Below are 21,814 nucleotides of genomic sequence, written 5' to 3'. Positions count from 1 at the left end.
TATGGTATTTGCACTAAACATGATGAAATTTATGTGAGAAGCCCACGAGATCACTTTTTTACTGCAATATTTTACTGGAGAGACAAACTGCTCATGCTGAGATGATTAGCGTCACACAGAGTTGCAAGTGGACACTAGGAACACTTAAGCTTACCTCGATAGCAACAGGAGGTAGCTACAAAAAATTACTGTAGCTAATTTTTATGCAGTTATGATTTAATACTGCATGTTTACATTTGTTTATATTTCTCAACTGCAAATGGCACCATGTACAATCTGTATTTGTGTGTATGTAAGTTTTGATAAATTTTAAGGTTTTATAAAAGATTTGTGTATATTTTATGATAGTAAATAATAAAATAGGCAAGAATCTACATATATTTTATGCATTCATGACATATCTTTTTCTTAACTTTTTTCTACTTCTAAGCTTTACCATTTGTTTGTTCAAATTGTCACAAATCTCCAAAAAGTATTATAATACGTTTATTGGGAAAAAATCATGTATAAGAAGACCCAAGTAGTTCAAATCCATGTTGTTCAAGGGTCAAATGTAGTTTTCAATGACGACCTACCATATGCTAGGCACTGCACAGGTGGCCTCCATATACTTCTCACTGCATGCTCAAATCAACCTTAGACCAGTTTATGTCTAATGCAGAGATGATAAAACTGAGGTCCTGAGTAATTTGTCAAGTCACACACACTAGTAGGTGATGGAAAGGAGATTGGGACATATACCTATGCACAGCAGTGTCTCTCTGTAGGTGGGAAGGCTATGCTCATGTACCACATTAAATTTTTGTACTTTCTGGTATCCCTTTGCTCCCTGCAGTAGGCTGAAAAATGTCCTCCGAGAATACCAGGTCCTAATCTCTGGATACAGTAAATGTCACTTTATAAGAAAAAGAATCTTGGCAGATGTGATTAAGCGAAGGATTTTGAGGTAGAGAGATGATCCTGCATTATCAGAGTAGGCCCTAGATTTCATCAGATGCATTCTCAGAAGAGGGAGGCAGAGGGAGATTTGACACACACAGAGGATGCTATGGTCTGAATTTTTGTGTCCTTCAAATCTGTATGTTGGAAACCTAGTCACCAATGTGATGGTATTAGGTGTGGCCTTTGGGAAGTGATTGCATCATGATAGTACATCCCTCATGGGGTTTGTGTCCTTATAAATGAGGTCCCAGAGAGCTGCCTTGCCCCTTCCACCATGTGAGGACACAGCGAGAAGTCAGCAGTTTGCAACCTGAAAGCAGGCCATCACCAGACACCAAATCTGCTAATACCTTGATCTTGGACTTCCCAGCCTCTAGAACCCTGAGAAAATAATGTCTGTTGCTTACAAACCACCCAGTTTATGGTATTTCGATATAACAGCCCAAATGGAGCAAGACAAACAAGAAGATGACTTGAAGACAGAGCAGGGAGAAATCTGAAGATGTTGGCCTTGGAGACTGGGGTAACACAACCACAAGCCAAGGAACACCAGCAGTCACCAGCAACTGGAAGGTTGAAAGAGTGAATTCTCTCCTAAAGCCTAAGCTCTAAGGTCCTGCTGACACCTTGATTTTGGCCCAGAGAAACTTATTTTGGACTTCTGGCCTCCAGAACTGTGAGAAAATAAATGTCTACTGTTTTAAGCCGTCAAATGTGTAGTAACTTGTTACAGCAGCCACAGGAAACTAATATACTCCCCATTTGCCATCATCCCCACCACTTAAGATACAGTAGTCACATACTTAGGCCCTACCCACTGAATGTGAAGTCCACACACACCACACTCCCTCCACATATTCTCAATGCACACAGCTCACTGCCAAGTTCCACGGGGAAGGCTCACCTGGCGTATGGTGACTCTCGTTCAAAAAAACATCACCAAGAGAAGTGAAGACTCTGAGAAGCTGCCTTGGAGAGCAGCCTCCTGGCCTCTCAATTTGCAGGGAGAGAAAACAGTAACTGCCCTAGAGACAGAATGTGACTGACATCAAAATCAAAGATCAATCAGCATTCCAATGTGAAACTAAAACATTTTATGAACAAAACTTTAATAAATTTTACTAGTTTTTCTTTCTTAAATAACTTTTTAGATTTCCAGAAGGCAATGAATGCAACTCATATGTTTCCTATTTTCCATGGTCAATATGCTTGACATCAAAGGTAGGATCTTACATCTGAAATAAGGAGTCCTGGCTTAAGGCCAATATCATATTAAGACATAACTAGAAAATGCCCAATTCTAGAAATAGGTGTTGCATCTGATGCTGAAGCACAGCCAGAGATCTTTGTTTTCCAGGCCAAGTTTCAAATACAACCTGATTTCATGGTAATGAGCAGCCACAACCTGATACTTGGTCAGTGAGTGACCTAGGTGAGTGAGTGAGTCAGCTTACAAGGCAGGAGACATGCCCTGGGGATTTGGCACCAACCAGCTTCTGGCAGCAGCATTTCAGAAGCAGGAGGCTCTGCTGCTGACCCCTCCTCCCCACCCCTCTAAACTGCTCATGCACTAAGATGACCAGATCCCTGGGAAATATCACCCAGGACTCAGCCAGGGGGAAGGGGAAGTCCAGGGATATAAGAGAGAATAGAATCTGGGGAAAGTCTGCATGGAACAAAGAAGGAACTCAACAATGTCAGAGCACATCACTAAGCTTACGAAGGTCCCCACAGGGGGTGTCTGTTGTTTCTGCTCCCTGGCTCTGTAACCCGCTCTCCTGGGTAGAACATGGGTCTCCTTTGGGGACCACGCCTCTCACTGCATGCAGTCTTGACGGCACTGTCCATCACCTGCCCTCATCTCAGCCTCACAGGGGCTGGATGAGCAGCCCTAGCCAGTCCAACAAGGTTCTCATCCCTGGATGGAGTGGCAACAAAGATGGGATGATGCCTGAAGCTGATACCTTCTTGATGGTAGAGCCCAAGCTGGTGGTCCATGAATTTCTACTCCCTAGGTCCCTGATAAATCTGGTTCTTTATTTAGCCTTCCCTTTGACTCAGTGAGCTACCTCCCATACTTCCAATAAATTCCTTCTTACTTGCTAAATAAGAAGAATCCGGTTTGGTGGCCTCTAGTCAAAGAACCTTGGCACAGTTACTAAAGTCAAGGTCTCCCCAGCCACCCCCAGCCTGCCTTTCCAGCTCCTTCTTCTCCCATTCTCAACCCTGGCTACACATTGGAGTCACCTGAAGGCTTAAATAATGCCAATGTCCAGGGCTCCACCCACAAAGGTTTTGATATAAATAGACTGGAGTAGGGCATTTTTAATAGTTCCACAGGTGATTGTAATGTTTAGCAGGGTTGATAACTACCACCCCTTCATGACTAAACCTAACCACAAACCGTCATCAGAACCCATGATCACTTCCACACCTGTGCCCCTCACACTGCCTCTCTCTGCCAGCAACACACACCTTGGCCACATGGCCACATCAGTGTTTTTGCACTCCTTCCTGCCACTCCTCTTCTCAAAAGCTTTCCATGGCTCCCATGGCCTCCAATACATAGTCTGAATCCATTAGCCTAGCTATCAACTTCCTCCATATTTAACTCAGTCTACTTTTCAGTCTAAATTCATCACTGCTACCTTCTAGATTTCCCTACTCCAGTCCAATCATTCTATTACCTACTTTCTGGACATGCAGAGTTCTTAGGACAAACAGCAGAGCCCATTCCAGTTTCATCCAGAAATGAGGCTATTAGTTATTTCATATAACCCCTAGGAGGGCCAGAGAATCACATAAGGTTATCCCATCAGAATGCACCAATGTAGAGGTGCTGCAAACATCTGGCTTAGGATGCTGTCTTTAGCTTTTCTGTCTTTGCTCTCTCTAAAGGCTCCTTTACACTCTTTTAACCCCATTTGTCACACACTGGCTTTAACCCCAAAGAGAGTCCATGTGGCTACTGCTCTTTCCCATCCTTCTCTTCCAAATGAGACTCTCATGCCAGTGCACGTGACTGGCGCAGCCCAGGCCACATGCTGCACTCTGGCTGTGAGGGATGCTGGGAAAGCAAGCTTCTGACCACTATCTTGAGGAAGCAGGACTCAAAAAGATGGAAATTTCCCAGAGATAAAAAGCAGCCAAAAGCTGCTGGGTAGCCTAAAAGCAAGATAAACATCCACCAGACTTGGCATCATAATTTCTTGCCTCCCTGACACTGACCATCCAAAACAAGTTCCCCCACTGAAGAGTATTCTCTTTTGAGAGACTACAGAGCGTTTTCTTTTGAGAGACTCACCCTCTGCTCATGTAAAGAACGTGGACTGCAAAACATGCCAGATCCCAGCTCCAATCTCAATGTTTGATGACCTCAGGCAGTTCTGCAAAGTGAGGATAACGATACCTTCATGCTAATGATACTATGAGGATTGAAGATAAAATATAAAGGCCAGCCCTTTGGCTGGCTGGCCCTAGTGCTCTGGTCAGCCCTGGCAGCAAAATCATAGAGCAGAATTGGCAATAGGAAGAACTTTGAACAACAGACCCAATGCCTCATTTTCTGGGCATCTCATAAGCCCCTTGAATTTTGACACAACATGAGAAAGGGGAAACCCCGACCCCCAATGTTACTAAGATTAACATTTTCACCACCTTCCAAATGAGAGCTTGGAGCCAGATTTAAGTTTCTTTTTAGAAATAATGCAACTTTTTTATGTCTAAGTGTCATGGAGCAAATTCCCACCTGTTACAACTACACAACAAGTGATTGACAGTTCTTATCACAACTAGTGAGTTTAGTCCTTCCCAATTCACCCTTTTCTAGTATTGACATTAAAGAATCCCCAAGTGTTGTAGATCAGTGCTTCTCATACCCTGATGTTAGGACATAGGTATTCCAGGGATCTGCTTACAATGCAGATTACAATTCAACTGGTAGGGGTGTGGCCCAATACTCTGCCTTTTACAATTTCCCAGGTGATGCTGATGCTGCGGGTCCCTGGACCATACTGTGAATATCGAGACTAACAACATCTCTGGAGTGAAGCCCAGTTAGCCAGTCTATTAAAAGTTCTGGCAGAACATTTACTAGAACTAGCTTACTTCATAAACAGCCACAACCCAGACCCTGCATCAAGTGGTACATTTAGGCTTCTACAAGGCTCTGCCCTTATACTTTGATGTCCCAATGAGACAAGTATTAAGCTCCTTGAAAGGAGGAACCAGCATTTTGATCTCTATGGTACAAACGATGTTAAGCACAACTTAAGTTTCATAAATACTTGATGAATGAACAAACAAATGAAATGTGAAGATCTGCTGGAATAATGAGAGAAGGGTAAAGCCAGTCCAGGCAGGCTTCTTGGAGGAAGTCAGCTTGTAAGAGATTCAATAATGAGGAAAACCCCAGGTCTAACAAGGAGAACAGCTAGTTCCTACAGAAGTTTTTTTCATCTTCTCTAGAGGATATCTACAGCAAGCTTCAATCACCAAGGTGACTCATTTGTCACCCCTATCAAGGGTAAACTTGAACTTGAAAAACAGTGAAAACCCATCAGCTGTCTTTTAAATATATATATATTTAAATATAAATATAACTATATATAATATATATAACTATATATAATATATATATTTAAATATAATTTTATATTATATATATATTATATATATATATGAAGTACAGCTTAAAAGCCAAGTATGGTAGTGCACACCTGTAGTCCTAGCTACCAAGAGGCTAAGGCAGAAGGATTGCTTGAGCCCAGGAGTTCGAGGCCTCAGGACACTATGATCATGTCTGTGAATAGTCACTATACTCCAGCCTAGGCAACTTACTGAGACTCCTTCCCATCCTTCTCTTCCAAATGTAACTGAAAAAACAAAAAGATGTAGCTGTCATTTCAATGTGATATTTAATCCTTCAGAATGGCAGCACATAGAAAGTAGACTCAAAAATATGCCAGAAATTTTATTTCTGCTGAGTATATGTCTCCAAAGAATTATATGTATAAGATATTATGTTATATTACATACTCATACAATATATAACATATATAATATATAAAACCAAATAGAATAGAATATGTAAAGTCAGGCCAGGCGCAGTGGCTCACGCCTGTAATCCCAGCACTTTGGGAGGTGGGTGGATCACGAGGTCAGGAGATCGAGACATCCTGGCTAACACAGTGAAACACCATCTCTACTAAAAATAAAAAAAAATATATTAGCCAGGTGTGGTGGCAGGCGCCTGTAGTCTCAGCCACTCGGGGGCTGAGGCAGGAGTATGGCATGAACCTGGGAGGCAGAGCTTGCAGTGAGCTGAGATTGTGCCACTGCACTCCAGCCTGGGCGACGGAGCAAGACTCCGTCTCAAAAAAAAAAAAATTTCATATATATATATATATATATATATATATATATATGTACCTATATATGTATATTATATATATATGTACCTATATATGTATATTATATATATAGGTACATATATATATATATTCAAATGACTTCATCTCTGGCTCAAGCACCCTGTGTAAAGTGTTTTATTTCTAAAGCAGAGTTGATCTTTTTCCTCTTCACTAAAGAAAGAGAGTGGCTTCTCTCTGCAAGTTTAATGAGCGTCATCACTCCCAGCTGGGCCTGCCCCCATTTCTGCATGCCGTTAGTTTCATGGACAGTTAGACACTGAACAAGTACAATGGCAACTTTGATGCTGCAGCCTTGCCTCCCGATCTGTCTGTTAGGTACCAGTAACACCACTGCTCTCCAACTACCTAGCCACCTTTGCGGTGTGCAAAGCAGTGGCCTGAGTGTTAAACCCTCTGCTTGCCAGAATGGCTCTTACACTCAGTAAGTACAAACAAGACTTTTTGTCAAGTTTCTAAATCGGGAAAGGCTCTAAAATCAGAAAATGATAAAGTCTGTTAGCCCAAGACATTTCTGTTATTCAGACTTGCTTCAGCACCAGGGTTGGCTTCCTCCCTGACACACTTTTTCCATCTGAAGCCAAATGATGAGGGGTACAGGCATCTCCCTTCTGGTGAGGAGGACTCTGGAAAGCAGCAGAGCTGCCTAGGCATCAGCTTATCCACCAAACCTTTATGCAGCGCCTAGTCATTGCCAGGCTATGACGAAATAGAGCTACCAAAAGGATGATAATTATAAGATCAATTCAATACTGTTTTCCTTTCTGACTATCAAGGCATCAGCATTCTGAAAATCCAGCCAGTGGGACTCAAACCCACAAATTTTGTAATTCTCCAAACGAGAGTTTAAAAGTCCAGTGAACATTCCATGGTGCCCTGGATCTTGTTAAACTTCCAGATCACTGAGCACTGAGCAGGTGACCAACAAGTGGTTGGTGGATCTGTGAATGGCTGGGCCAAAGGCAATTCTTGGAAGGTGAGACTTTTCAAAGAGAAGCTTCTGGAGATTGAACCTGTCTTGGAAGTTATAACTAAGGTAGGCCATGTGTTTACCTGGGAGCTCCTTTCAGCAGAGTTCAGTGAATCCATTCGTTTTCTATTGGTACATAGTGAATTATCAAAAATTTAGTGGCTTAAAATAACACCTATTTATTAGCACACAAATCTGTAGATCAGAGATCCAGGCAAGGTATGCCTGGGTTCTCAACATGTAGGCCAGGCTGAATTCTTTTCTAGAAGTTCTGGGGGGGAATTTTACCTCTAAGCTTATTCAGGGCCCATTTTCTTGCTGGTGCTCAGCTCCTAGAACCTACCTATATTCTCTGCCAGCTCCCTCCATCTCCAAAGCCAGCAACAGAGAATTTCTCCCTGGTCAAATGCCTCTCATGCTTTGACTCTTAGTTCTCCTGCCTCTGACCTCTAGACCCAGATTTAAAGGCTCATGTGACTTGGTTAAATCCACACAGAAAATCTCCCTATTTTAAGGTCAACAGATTTGGGAACTTAATTACTTTCCTTCCTTGCAGCACTAGATTAGTGTTTGATTGAATAACTGGGAGAAGATACGTATACCTTATGGACCAGGCATTTTGGAGGCCATTTCAGAATTCTGCCTAGCACAGGGAAAGAAGGAAAGGAAGGTAGAGCCAAGAGAGCTGCCTGAGGATCACAGTGAGGGTGCTTTTCCTCCATTTCAGGAGCAGCAGCCACTGTCAGAGAACTTCAATCCATCAATCTCTCAAGCAATGCATGGCTACTCTGCCCCCAACCCAGTAAGGAAGGTTGAAGATGTACAACAGTGAAGGGTCCCTGATCTTAGGGAGTTCCAATATAGTCGAGAGACATCATCTGTGCCCCCTTCTGAGAAATGTCTAAGATGGCTCACCATGCATAGGAACATCAGTATAGGCTGTCGTAGTCCAGGAAGGCTTCATGGAAGAAGTGGGAGGCACTGAGATATATCATATGCAGAATGCTAGTGTAAGTGGTAGGAAGTTTTGTCATGGGAGATATATGAGTTGGTCGTAGCTGGAGATTGTCGTTGAAGAACGAATAGACCATTGAGCAATAGAGATGACAGGTGAGAGCTACTGTGACCTAGTTTAGCTCCCTAGGGCCACCTCCTAATCAGGGCCTGAGCAACATGGGGGCGGTTTGGGCCTCCGTGCTGGGAAAGTGGGAGTTGCTGAATGGAAGCAGTCACTGTCTGGCCATGGAGGACAGTGGCAGCAGCAAGACTTGGAGAAACCAAGGGCCAGAGGTCTGCCTAATGGAAAGGAGAACTCACCAGTGTCAGCTGCTCTGCCAGAACTGTGTTCCAATGAAGGGTTGTCTGTTTTTTTATTCTATAAACACAGCCAGGCCTGTACTTTGACCCAAATTGGAATGCAACAAATGCTGTCACTCTAGGGGCAGCACTAGAAATCCAACTGTGCTGTTTAACTTCTTAAAACCCTGCAATGGCTTCCAAGGATAAATTCCAAACCCCTTAGCTATGGTTTCATCTGGAACTGGCTGATCCAGTCCACTAGGCTGGGCTCATGATACATTAAAGGGAGAGATATGAAGTTAGGCAATCCTTTTTCATCCTTCACAAAGTCTGGCTTTTAAGATAATTGCCCAGCTAAAGAGGTCAGTAATTCCATCCTCTGGACCCAGGATGGATCCACAACACCTTTGTCCCAGGCAGTAGCTGCTTATTCCTACCCTGGGGTGATAAGTGTGGCTCACTCTTGAGAGAGATGGCTGCAAGTGGATGCAATTTAAGGTGGAGACATAAACACATGGTTTAATATTTTCAAAATGTCACCCCCACTGTATCCTCATTACCTTGAGGACCCCTTGTTAAAAAGTGGTGAAAGAGCCTGCTAAGAAATAATGTGTAGAGTTGTATCATTGCATTTAACATCTTGTTCAATAGATTTTAACAAGGACCATTCACCACCCTAGTCACTTTCATCTCACGGTTACTTCTGGCAGATATACATGGTTAAAGCTAACATTCAGGGTCTGATTAGCACATAGTGTTCATTTGCTCAGGGGCAAGCAAATCTTAAATGTTTTGCATGTTGGTTTGACTTCAGAGGCCTCAGAGGAATCATAACCCTTTCAAAGATAGCATCTTTGGTTCAGATGAACCAGAACACTTTTGAGGAATGATAAACCTCTATACGAATGCATGCCCAAGGGAAAACAGAACATTGCTTCTCAATTCCAAGCTGAGGCTCATTCATTCATTTGTTCAGTCAACAAATATTCATTACCTACTATGTCTAGACACTATGCTGGAATGAGGTACAGTGTTGAGGGAAATTAGGGCATGCACCTATCCACAAGGAATTAGAAGGAAGACAGACATCAGTCGAGTAATTGCACAATTAAATGTAAAATGACAACAGTGAGTCTTGTTTTGTGGGAGGTTTAATGAAGTCAGGGAGGATGGGCCAGTTTCCCTGGGGAGATCTGAGAGAGGAGAAAGATATTAACCTGGGGAAGGGGATGGAAGTGGGGAGCAGGTAGAGAATAGAGTAAGATAGAAAAGCATGCCAGGCAGAGGAAACAACCCATACACAGGCAGCATGGGGGAAGAGAGCCAGTCATGGTCACTTGAAGAACTTGAAGGGGAGCCAGTGGAATAAGGCAGTTAAGGGGTGTTATAAACTGAACTGTGTCCCCTGCAAATTCACATGTTGAAGGCCTAAGCCCCGGTGTGATTGTATTTGGAGATTGGGCCTTTGGGAGGTAATTCGGGTAAAATAAAGTTGTAAGGGTGGGGCCCTAATCTGATAAGACCAGCATCCTTATAAGAAGAGCAAGAGACACCAGGAGAACACATGTGCAGAGAAGGCCAGGTCAGGACACAATGAGAAGACAGCTATTCATCTACAAGAATGTGCAGCAGAAAGGATGACCAATCATGTCTCCAGTCCTCAGTAAATAGCCAAGAGTAGAGGTGGAGAGTCAGTTGAGTGGTCCCAGGGCTGCAGCCTGGCAGGGGACATGTGCAGAGGGAAAAGGGATAGGAGTCGACAGTGTCCTCCAAATGGTAGACCAGCGGACCTTGCCTTGTACAGCCAGAGGGGCTCCTTGACTCCCAATTCAATATTCTTCCACGGCGCTGTCTCAACTCGTAAATGGCTTTTATTCTGAATGGTTTTAGCACTAATAAGCCAAATGCTTTGTGCAACTGAGGCCTCTCTTATTACACTTCAGCAGCCCCCAGGAGGCTGACAGATGAACAGGCTTGCTAATAAATGGGGACTGGGATTTCAATCTCCCCTTCCTCGGAAACTATGCATCTCTCCAACAGAGAAATGAAATCTTTGAGACAGCCTGATTATAAAAATAATGCAGCATTATTATATTTGTCTGCCAGGCTGATCACAGGACACTTGCAATTTATGAAAGCTATCACAAATAGGGTAATAAACATAAAATATTTGAGGCAAAACTTTTTTCTGAAATATTGAAACATTGGAGTCAAAATAATATCTTACACTAAAAAAGTCACTAATTTAATGTTGATGGTATTTCCCTCAAAGACTGTGTTGACATATCCTTTCATATCAAATAAAAAGCCTTTGCTAAGAAAACTAATGATGAAAACATGATTGTAAGATAAGCATTTAACCTAGTGAAGAAAACAACTACTAAAAATTCTTATGGGCACTGTCAAAGCATTTCAAGGCATCCACTTCTGTGTAATACGAAATATACAGTAGAGTATAGGGATTGGTTTTTAAATTAATTATATTTTTGGTTATGGCCTGCACACAGGGTACAGAATTTCATGAAGTCAATGAAAAGGAAGCTGAAGAAACAGATGATTCAAATGCCACGCCACTGACAAGCAAAGATTTGCTCGAATTAGACCAGATAATTATGAAAGAATGGAAAACTGATAAGGATAATGCAAGGATAGGTGCTTCCATGAGGGTGATTTAAATAACAAAGAATGAAGAGAGGCCCTTTTTATAATCTTACTGAGAAAATAAAACACAAAGGTTATCAGATGGTTTTGTTAGAAAAATTGTGCCCTCAAGCCACATTGGATTCATTCTGAATAATCATTATAAGAATTAATATATAGTTGTAACTATAACTTATATTTGTAACATACAAATAAATTTCTTTTCATAATTTTCACTTTCAAGTCCCAATGAGACCTCTTTTCAAATGTTTTCAACCCCACTTTAAAGGAACCAACTTTATGAGTTCTTTTCAGGTAACGATTGTCCTCAGGTAAAGAGGACCCACTGTCAATATCTCATTCCCCTCTACCCTCTACCCTCTCTTCTCTCTCTTCTTCTTCCCTGGCCCTGCTTGGTTTGACCTAATTCTGTGGTCTAAAAACCCAGAGGATGTGATTCTGAGCTCCTTCTCTTTGCTTCTCCCTGAACCATGCCACAAATATCTAAATGTATATCAACCTTATTTTTAGAGTAGTTCATTTCAGCAGCAACTGCTAACCTTTGTTCCATCCAAATACACGTGATGAATAATGTCTATATTCAATATGAGCAAACCAAGTTGATGTGTAATCCCTGCCACTAGATGTAACTTCTTCCCTTTCCTTCTGACTCAGGAGAGCAAATCAGAATGCAAAAGAGTGTAATTATTCTAGAGTTATGAATCTTCTATGATGTTTCTTTTATTTAATAACCTCATGACTGTCTGTAAAATCTTTTTTCATAACTATAGTTGAAAGCCAATCACTGCCCTCTAGTTCTCTAGGAGGTAGTTGCAGCTGAGTCCCAATCACTTGAAAGTTATTATACAAATTAAAACTATGCTTTTTTTAAAATTACTTTGTCATTCCACTTTGAGTGGGTGACACTTGATAGCAAGCCATGTGTGCAATAGACACACACAAGTGTCCACAGACCTGGATGCTATCTGCATTGAGAACAACTCCAAAGGAGACTTCAGAAAGAGAAGATGGGAGGTCTGGGGAAAGACTTGCTTGAAAGGAAGTCTCATTTTACACATCCTCATCATTGAAGGGACAGGACAGATAATCAAATTATCAGTTCCTTTCCTCCAGAAGAGGCAGAAATCCAGACCAGCAACCTCTGTTCTGACATCGGACAAATATTACCATGCCACACTGGCTGAAACCTTGAAACAGAAACCAAGTCTAGTACTGATTTGTCACTGGGCTGACAAGAGGCAAGACAAGACACTCCTATTTCCAGGAATGTGCACTTTTGCATCACTATTGTGTTCTCCTGTAAATTGCTTGAGAGCTAGTAGGTATCCCAGCCTCTCTTTCTCTCCCAGAGTTCCCAATGTGTTTTCCTTATTCACCAGCCCAGCACATCGACTAGACTGAGGCACAATAGTGAAAGATGAAGGAAAATTAATATTTTTTACATGGGCTTCCTCATCTTGCGTAGATTTATGAATTTTGTTTCTGTCATGCAGAAGTTAGCATTTTTAACAACGAGCGGCGAACAATCTTAATTGTTTTCTTTATTGCCTTAAGAGCTCCAAGAACTACTTGTGATATGTCGCCATTTACATTTCACATTAAATTTAAAATGTTTGAAATAAGCAAATATTTATTTTAATTTGACCCATCTGTGAAATGAAATACTAAAAAGACAACTAAATTACTATATTAAATTCAGCGATTTGTAAACAATTTATATGTTCATTTGTTCTGGGTTAAAAATGCCCCAAAGCACAAGTTTTATGAAACTTACAAAGTAAATTGCATTGAATTAATCTGATGAATGCAGGCCATGATTTCTTCCTCTTCACTCCATTAATTTATTTCCTAACTTGAGTTAATTAGTGAGGTTCCTATTTTTAAAAGCTCTTTGAAATTCATTGGGAGAGGAGGACATTTGCGAGAACTGCTTTGAAAACCTACCGCAGAGAAAATGGGCTAAATACAAACGGTAAATTCCCCCAGGACATTATCGCACATTGAGCACCTGATTGCCATTCAACAATCTTTATGCTGAGAACACAGTGGGCGATTAACATACAGTTGGTATAGGAAAGAAGGAAAGAGCCAGAAGAAAAGAACGAGAGCAGCAGCAAGAACAAACTCATTCCAGACAATTACTAATGGGATCTGATGATCTCCAAGGTCCTATCCATCTCTAAATAAAAGTCTGTGGCATTCTGATTTTATGCTGCAAATGGAGACTGGCTTTAACTTGGAGCACCTGCTGTGGGGAGAACAGACATCTACTCAGAGAAATACAGGAAACACAGAGATTGGTCAAATAGAGTAACGATAAATCAATGATTTTCCCTTTGGTCAAAGGCAGCCTTAATTCCTAAGTTAGACTGGGAGATACTTGAAGACCACTTGCTAATGCTTATCTACCCCCTAATTCTTATCCACTCATGCCAGTCTCCTCCGATCAAAAAAAAAGGAAATTTAATTAACTCACACTAAAGTATAAATTACACCTTACAGTTTAAGATATGCCTAAGGGAATATTTATGGAGGAAGGGAGAACTAGTATTTCAACAAACACTCAAGCTTTAAGCAAATACAATGTCCATTCCTCTCTGTAATATTTGAGTAGTAGCAACCAGTGGGTGATAGACTGAGTTGGGTACGCTTCCCAAGTCCCAAGATAACGTTACCTACTACAACTTCCAGAAAGGCTGGCCCTAAGAGGCAGCAACACCACCAGGCTTACCTATGCTTGTCAAAGTCCTGCCTTGTTTCATTTTCCTTTCACCACACGCCTGTGAAAGTCACAAACAGACATGCATTTCTCTGCCCTGAAAAGCACAGTGGGACTCTTTGAGCTGCACTGAGGTGATTCTGAACTAGGTCTTCTCTAAGTCTCAAATTCCTCCTCTAGAAGATGGAAATATCAGTCACCTGGCACAGCCCCTAATGCAGAGTAGCATCCAAATATTCTCATTTTGTGCAGACACAGAGTAAAGTCAAGTCAGCTGGTCACCTGCCACAGCTCTCAAAGCCCAGCTCCCTGGGGGCAATCCATGGCTGCCTCTGAGTACTTTGAAATTCATTAGGGCAATTATTTCAAATCGAATAAAGAGTAAAATTAGACCCTAAGCTTTTAACAATTAATGACACACTGGAAGCCAGGGGCTGGTCTGAGGCAAGACCCAGGTCTTTCCATCATTCTCCAAGTGCCTTCCAACTCTCTCTCATGTCTACCTCCTGTCCCTGGAACCTGCTGCCCAGTTGCCCACACCAAAACAAACAGCACCATGATTTATTCCTTTTCCTGATGCCACAGGGGAGAGGGAAGAAGGGAAATGTTTGTTATATCTATTCCTTTTTGATTCACACACGCACAATACATCCTTTTTATTGTTTCTGCTAAAAAAATATATTTTAAAACCCTTTGTTCACACACATTTCATGTGTCTCCATTAAAGCCTTGTCTCCCAGCCACTAGGTCCCTCTTCTGAAGGCTCTGGGGTCAACAGACCTGTGGGCTCTTTTTAAATAGACGAGGCCTCAACTTTAAATACTTGTATCACAACAAAAGTTTGGAAAACAAGCATAAGAATTGGGTCTGTGAGGTGATTATTCAAATCCTAGGAATCGGTGAAGCCAGATTTTCTGGATCAGATAAACAGGCCGTCCTGCCAGGTTGCTCTGGTCTGGTAAGGAACAGACCCACAGTGGCAGAAACCCAAGCCCTGGGGAGTGCTGAGAGCTCCCATGTCTTAAGATTGGGTCGAAGAGGCTCCAAGGAATAAAATAGCAGCCCGAGAGTGTGTGTCGCTCACAGCCTGCTTTCTCCAAAGGAGGAGAAAAATGGGAACAAAATCTAATTGCACAAGAAAGTCTTCCCCGGGTAAAAGAGCTAGATAAGACGGTTCCCTGTATCTCTGCAGAACTTGGTCTTTTGCAAAGGACTTTCACCTGTCCTGCATTACCTAATTTGTCCGTCATATTCTCTAGTATTATTGTCCCCATTTTACCAAAGATTTTTGTGACTTCCCAAAGGTCACAGCAGTGATGTTCTGGAATATACCCAAACCTTCTGGGTTCTGGTCTCGTGCTCTTTTCACCATAATCTACCATGAATCCCCGAAACACAGAGAAGAAACATTCAGAGACCCAGAGCAATGCCCTCATACTGCTACAAGACTCTTCCACCTTAGTAAACTTAAGTGTGCAATTCTAGGGCAAGACTTGCCCTGGAGAGGGCCACAGGCAGTGGCACGGGTCGTGGGGGAAGGTTGGGAAGCTGCTCACGTGTTGCCCCCGACTTAGGACTCACTCAGGAAGATGATGGTCTGCCTCCTGGCGGTCCTGCTCTCTTCGCTCTCGGACTTCCTCAGCTGCGGAGGCCGCGTGCCCCCGGCCAGCGAGCCCTTCTGGCTTTTCATGAGCACCTGCATCATGTTCCAGCACATGAAGGCTACGGAGAGCAGGACCACGAGGTAGACCACGAAGGCGCCGAAGATGCTGGACTGGAACACGGTCCAGCGGCTGGAGAGGTTGGTACAGATGGACATATTGGAGGTCTCGGGCTGCTCGTGGTGGCGGGTGCTGGAGCGGTTGCAAGTGAGACCCCGGTGGCTGGGCACGTTCACCAGGGGGTACTCAGTACCCATGGCAAACAGCAAGGGCAGTGCCACCAGGGCGGAGGTGACCCAGACGAAGCCAATCAGCAGCTTCACCTGGCAAGGTCCCGACACAGCCTTGTACCTGAAGGGGTGACAGATGGCGATGTAGCGCTCAAAGCTGAGTGTCAGCACGTGCAGCAGCGTAGCGTAGCTGCAGGCCTCGAAGAGGAAAGTGTGCAGCTTGCAGGACAGGGTGTAGCTGGACGTGGTCAGGGGATTCCAGATGATGCTGTAGAACTCCATGGGCATGCCGATGAGGAACACCAAGATGTCCGAGCAAGCCAAACTCACCATGTGGTCTGTCACCTCCTTCTGCAAGTATCCTTTCTTCTGCAGCACCTGGGTGACCCGAATGGTGGCGCTGTTCCCCAGAAGGCCCATCACGAAGATGATCAGGTACACCAGAATAAGGGTGATTTTGATCCAGGTGGCCACCTCAAACTCGGGGACATGACTGTGATCAATGATTTGGGAGCAGTCACTGCCCGGGAGGCTGGGTGAAGCCATGAGAAAGAGCACCAGGCTACCAGGTCCAAAGACTTTCTCAACTTCCCTTTCTCCTCCCAGCAGCGTCCAAAATTCTTGGCTGCAAACTCACCTGCGTGGGCGCACGATTTTATCTCACTCGAGTTCTCCTCGCGAAGGTAACTTAGTATTTCAGGTGCTTTCATGGAAACTTGCTGGAGCAGCCCAACCTAGGAGAGGCCCAGGAGGCGCCTGGGTGTTGAGGTTTGGGAGTGTATGTGGCTGGGGCGAGGCGGGGAGAGGGCGGAGGAAGAACGTTCTAAACTCCTGGCTGGCTGGGAGTGAGACCGCAGCACCTGGCGCTCCGCCTCTGCCCCTCTTCGCCGAGGGCGCACTCCGCCTCGCAGCACTCCTCTTCCTTTCCAGCTGCCGGCACTTGAGAGCCCCGGTCCACATTCCCAGAGCACCCTCTCCCGAGCTGCGGGAGGCGGGGTGGTCAGCGATTAATCATTAACCACAGCGGATTGTGCTCAGCGGCCCGGCTGCAGACCCAGCCCAGCGGCGGGGTTTGACTCAGCACATAGGCACGGTCCCTGAAATCAGATCGTGGCTCTCGAGCTACGAGCGACCCACCCCCGCCCCACCCTCCGTCACCCAGGCGGCAGCCGCAGAGGCAGCTGCGGCGCTCCAACCCGACAAGCGTCCCAAGGAGGTGCAGCCCCGGGGAAGCTGGCGACCCTCCCGAGCTGGGAGAAAGACAAACTTCCTCTCGCCCGCACTGCCCCCACGTCCACCGCTGCCCTGGGGGCCCCCTTCGAAGGCGAGGTCACGGCCCGTTTGGTGGTGGCTTGACCGGGGCGTCCCAGAGGAGCCAGCAAGCCCTCGCCTCCTCTGTGGGGTGTTTGCCAAGGACAGCTGGGCTCTGCGCTGCTTGCAGCCGCTGCTCCAGGAAGTCGGCCCCAAGCAGGCTTGCAGGATTCACTATAGAATCCCTGCCTTTCCCCAGAGCCTGCCGGTGTTCTGCGCAGGGCCCTGCCTCGCCTTCCCACGGAGGGACGCGAAGACCCCGGGGTCTCTTCTTTCAGTTTCGCTCCAAGGTGCAGCCGCTTTCCCGGCAGCGGGACGTCTTTTAATTGGGGACATGTATATGGATGAGGATGGCACTCCGCCAGCAAGCCCCAGGTGGGAAGCATGCCCTCCGGAGGGAGCTGTGCCTAGAACGTCGAAGACAGCAGGAGGAGCTGAAGGCTCTGACAAGGCCGTCATGTAAAAACAGCATTAAGGATCATGACCTTTTCCCTCGAATGGACCCATTTTCGTCTTTTAATTCCACAATCAGAGGGAATGAGCAATGAAGGGGGAGGAAGGCTGCCTTATGCGTTCTAGGATGTTTAGCACCTGCATACACACATCCATAGGGACAGCCAAATGTCTCCAGACATTGCTAAATGCCCCTTGCCAGGGAGTGGCAAAGTCAAAGTCAGAACCTCTGCCTCAAAGGAAGAACATGGATCCCCTTTATCTGTACATTCTAGGGGCCTAGCACAAGCCCTCTGTGCTGAAAACATCTCTGAATTATCCCAATCGCCACATCGATGCAATCATTTTAAAGATGAAGCAATTCTGCTGTCTGGAGGACCTATGCTTCCCCAAGGCCATAAAAGAGTGAGTGAGAGCAAGGTCTTACTCAGATGTGGAATATAAAATAAAGTTAAATACATAGAAACAAAGAGTAGAAAGGTGGTTACCAAGGCCTGGGAGGGAGAGGAAATGGGGACATGTAGGTCAAAGGACAAAATGAATAAGTCTACAGATTTATCATACAGCCACAGGACAACAGTTAATAATGTTGCAATGTAGATTGAAAATTTGCAGAGAGAGTCCATTTTAGGTGCAACACACACAAAAAGTCACTGTGGAAGATGACAGACACCTTACTTTGCTTGACTGTGGTAATCATTTCACTTTGTATATCAAAACATCATGCTGCACACCTTAAATATATATGATTTTTAAAAAATGGTTAGTGACAGACTTGGAAATTAATCCAGATCAGTCTGACCCCTGAGTTTGTACTCCTAATTCTGGGAATGCAGTAGGTGCTTAGGAAATTCATCCTGAATGGTGCACATAGAAACATGGGACTGTACTTTTTTGGGGGGGGGAGGGGACGGAGTTTTGCTCTTTTTGCCCAGGCTGGAGTGCAATGGCGCCATCTCGGCTCACTGGCAACCTCTGCCTCCCGGGTTCAAGTGATTCTCCTGCCTCAGCCTCCTGCGTAGCTGGGATTACAGGTGCGTGCCACTACACCCGGCTAATTTTTTGTATTTTTAGTAGAGACAGGGTTTCACCATGTTGGCCAGGCTGCTCTTGAACTCCTGACCTCAGGTGATCTGCCCACCTCGGCTTCCCAAAGTGCTGGGATTACAGGTGTGAGCCACTGCGCCCGGCCAGGACTGTACTTTCTGCACAGTGCACTGGAGCTATTGTCTGATGACCTCAAGGATTATTTGATTTTAATGCTGTCTAGGAGAAAAAAAAAATGCTGTATGGCCACTGGATCTTTAAAATTAGCTTCATATGTGCCTTTCATGTTTTCTCTTTCTTTGTTCTGTTAAATCACAAGCTCCAAAGCCAAGAAGTGTATCTTTTCCCTCTCTGACAGGTTGGCATAGCACCCTAAATAATGTGTTTTGTGGGCGGCCTCTCCACCCCCGATGTGTGCTACTTGACCTGCTTGTTGGCACTGGTGGAGAAACTCCTAACTCGTTTCCTCATTAGTGCACTGCATTCAGCTGAAGGACCTAGCTGACCTTTCATCTGTCCCACAACACTCACAGGAGTAGCGTAATGGGGGTAAGCATGGACTCCTGGGGCTTTTCTACTTGCAGATGAGGACTCTGAATCGACTTCTCTACGGCAGAGCCTGGTTGTTTGCTATCCCACAGGAAATTCATCCTGAATGGCACACACAGAAACACTGGACTGTACTAGGATGTACCCACAGATTCCCCTGCCCTGAACACACATACACACACACACACACACACACACTCTCACTTACACGTAAATGCCTGCCCCTGCTCACTTCTTTCTTTTCAAAGCTGTAAACAAACTAGGAACCTCACCCTCAGCCCAGCCATAGAGCTTTCCTTGGAAATTCTCCTCTTACTCATTATCTGAGCCCCTATAACATGTCAGGCACTTTCACATAATTCATTTCTCTCAATCCTCACAATAGTGCAAAGTGGAGATTATTACCCCCATTTTACAGGCGGGGAAATTGAGGATGGGGGATTGTGATGCACCAGAAAGGCCCAGACGCACCAAAAGCACATTCCATGCTATTGCACTGTCTCCCTGTGCCAGGACAAGACTGTGCTAGGCAGAACAGTGGTGTTTTGGGGAGAGGTGTTTTTTTTTTTTCAGTCACCAGCCTCAATGCTTCTCACATCCCTATCATATTGGATAATTCCAATTTGTTCTGCTCAGACAAGATTTCCATTATTATCAGGTTCCTTTCATCAAATTCTTCTTTCCCAAAGAGTGAACACAGATTACAAATGCATGGCCAAACAGTGAGAATCAACCTAATTAAAATGCACTCTTTACAGTAGAGATGGAAAAATACATTTTGAAAAAAGGTCCAGGAGAATTAAATTTTCATTTCACCTCTGCTTTTCCTAAGGCCAATTAAAAACGGTTTCATGTGCTCTCACTTGTTGATAACAGACTGGTATAGCACCTGGCCTCGGTCTGTGTAATCTAGATGTTTTATTAGCATATTGTGTAGAGGAAAGAAAGAAAATGAATGAAAAATGAAAGAAAAAAATACTCTGGGTATCCTTTGATCTCAACACAACTCAAGGCTCACTCTACTCTAGAGCCTGCACAAATTTATATTCCCATTCTACACATTCTAGATGACTTTTGAAGTCACATTGCCTAGTGGTTTTCACATTTTTTTAGAAAAAAAATCTCATTTTTGAAATATAATCTTACACTGGCACCCAGAGTAAACACACACACACACACACACACACACGCATTATATTTTTGTAAATTTAAATTTATTTTATATACTAACATTGATAACAGACTCATTTAAAGTCGATAAACAATTTACAGTAAAAAGTGAATAACATCTTGTTTACAAAGGTTTGTCATGATTATTAAGCTACAACGAAAACTTAAAACATCTTCAAAAATTATAAATAGTGTAGATAACTTTATTTGTAATACAATATAACTAAAATTAATAACAAAACCAGAAAACTGAAACATAAAACTCTACCATCTCAAAATACACTTTTTTTAAGTCTCTGGAACAATTCTTTGTCAAAGAGAAAAGCAAAACCCAAATTGCAGATTATCTAGAGAATAATGACCACAAAAATATTGCATGTCAGAACCTGTGGAAATAGCTAAAGGAATCCCTGAAAGAAAAACTCATAGCCCTAATTATTTCTAATAAGAAAGAATAAAAATACATCAAGTTATAAAAAGAATAATATTAAAGAAGACTGTAAGAAGCGATTAATAAAGATCAAAGTAATTACGAAATAACTAGATAGTAAAACTAATAAGTAAGCTCAAAACCTTATTTGTTTTGTGTTCTTTTGTAGATGGTGGGTCTTGCTATTTTGTCCAGGTTGGGCTGAACTTGTGATCCTTCTGCCTCAGCCTCCTGAGTAGCTGGGACTACAGACATTTACCACTGCAGCCAGCTAAGACTTTTTTTTTAAGTAGGACCTCTGCTTCTGGCCTTAAGAATAATGAGTATTAGGCTGGCAGCCTGTGCACAACCCCAGACCCACACCACAGCATGGATTGTGATCTCTCAGGGAAGATAAGCTAATAAGGTAAGCCCTGGGATCACCCAGGCCTGCTGTGTGGAGGCACTTTGCAGACCATGGGGCAGAGAAGGAACCCCAAGGAGAGCACAGTCATCTCACTGAGTTGGGGAGTCAGAGACTGGAATTCAGGAGGAGGCTACTGGACTCTACGAAGAAGAGTACTGAAAAGGAGGAAACTACACAGAGAAAGAGTTCCAGAGAGCTATGCAGAAGTCTTCTTGAGCCTTTTGCCAAATACTAAATGGGCATGTGCAGATGAAACTCCAAGAGCTAGGCAAAATATGCTGAAGAAAGAGCAACTTGCAGGGCTAGGGGGTAATTCAGGGGCTGTAAGACAAACAATTCCCAAAGTCACACAGAGCTGTGAAACATTAAAGTTTCAACCAACAATAGTGAAGAGACCTCACTGAACCAACCCTGGAAGGGCCAGATCTTGGTAGCACTAAACTAGCCACAGACCTAAGACTGCTGTAGACCTGCCTTAACAAAGAAACTGACCTGAGCTATCTAACATGGCAGCCATTAGCCACGTGTGACTAATAA

General features: G+C 43.8%; 2 protein-coding genes across 2 annotated transcripts in view, besides 3 other annotated features; one reads left to right on the top strand and one right to left on the bottom strand.

Annotated features, from left to right (window-relative positions):
- Positions 1 to 16,695, bottom strand: part of GPR39 (G protein-coupled receptor 39) — a 229,778-nt gene extending 213,083 nt beyond the window's left edge. The window contains exon 1 of the mRNA NM_001508.3: positions 15,602 to 16,695. Coding sequence (NP_001499.1) covers positions 15,602 to 16,457 — 856 coding nt within the window. The 5' untranslated portion in view covers positions 16,458 to 16,695. The remainder of the gene's footprint in view (positions 1 to 15,601) is intronic.
- Positions 13,034 to 13,675: an enhancer, noted in NCBI's record as "NANOG hESC enhancer chr2:133177398-133178039 (GRCh37/hg19 assembly coordinates)". NCBI's record gives its function as "activates a minimal SCP1, AML or CMV promoter by ChIP-STARR-seq in naive H9 embryonic stem cells {active_cell/tissue: H9 hESC(naive)}" and the evidence as "EXISTENCE:reporter gene assay evidence [ECO:0000049][PMID:30033119]".
- On the top strand, positions 16,456 to 21,111 carry LOC124905948 (uncharacterized). Its single transcript, XM_047446885.1, has 4 exons — positions 16,456 to 16,594; positions 16,964 to 18,080; positions 19,081 to 19,271; positions 21,041 to 21,111. Exons 1-2 carry the CDS (start codon positions 16,456 to 16,458, stop codon positions 17,683 to 17,685), a joined length of 861 nt encoding a protein of 286 aa, XP_047302841.1. The 3' UTR covers positions 17,686 to 18,080; positions 19,081 to 19,271; positions 21,041 to 21,111.
- Positions 16,770 to 17,064: an enhancer, noted in NCBI's record as "tiled region #6129; HepG2 Activating DNase unmatched - State 4:PromP". NCBI's record gives its function as "activates a minimal TATA promoter and a strong SV40 promoter by Sharpr-MPRA in HepG2 cells {active_cell/tissue: HepG2}" and the evidence as "EXISTENCE:reporter gene assay evidence [ECO:0000049][PMID:27701403]".
- Positions 16,770 to 17,064: a silencer, noted in NCBI's record as "tiled region #6129; K562 Repressive non-DNase unmatched - State 20:ReprD". NCBI's record gives its function as "weakly represses a minimal TATA promoter and a strong SV40 promoter by Sharpr-MPRA in K562 cells {active_cell/tissue: K562}" and the evidence as "EXISTENCE:reporter gene assay evidence [ECO:0000049][PMID:27701403]".

The sequence above is a fragment of the Homo sapiens genome, chromosome 2 (assembly GCF_000001405.40).
Source record: "Homo sapiens chromosome 2, GRCh38.p14 Primary Assembly".
Lineage (NCBI taxonomy): Eukaryota > Metazoa > Chordata > Mammalia > Primates > Hominidae > Homo > Homo sapiens.
The sequence above is the reverse complement of the archived record's forward strand: the minus strand, read 5'-3'. Positions and strand labels throughout refer to the sequence as shown.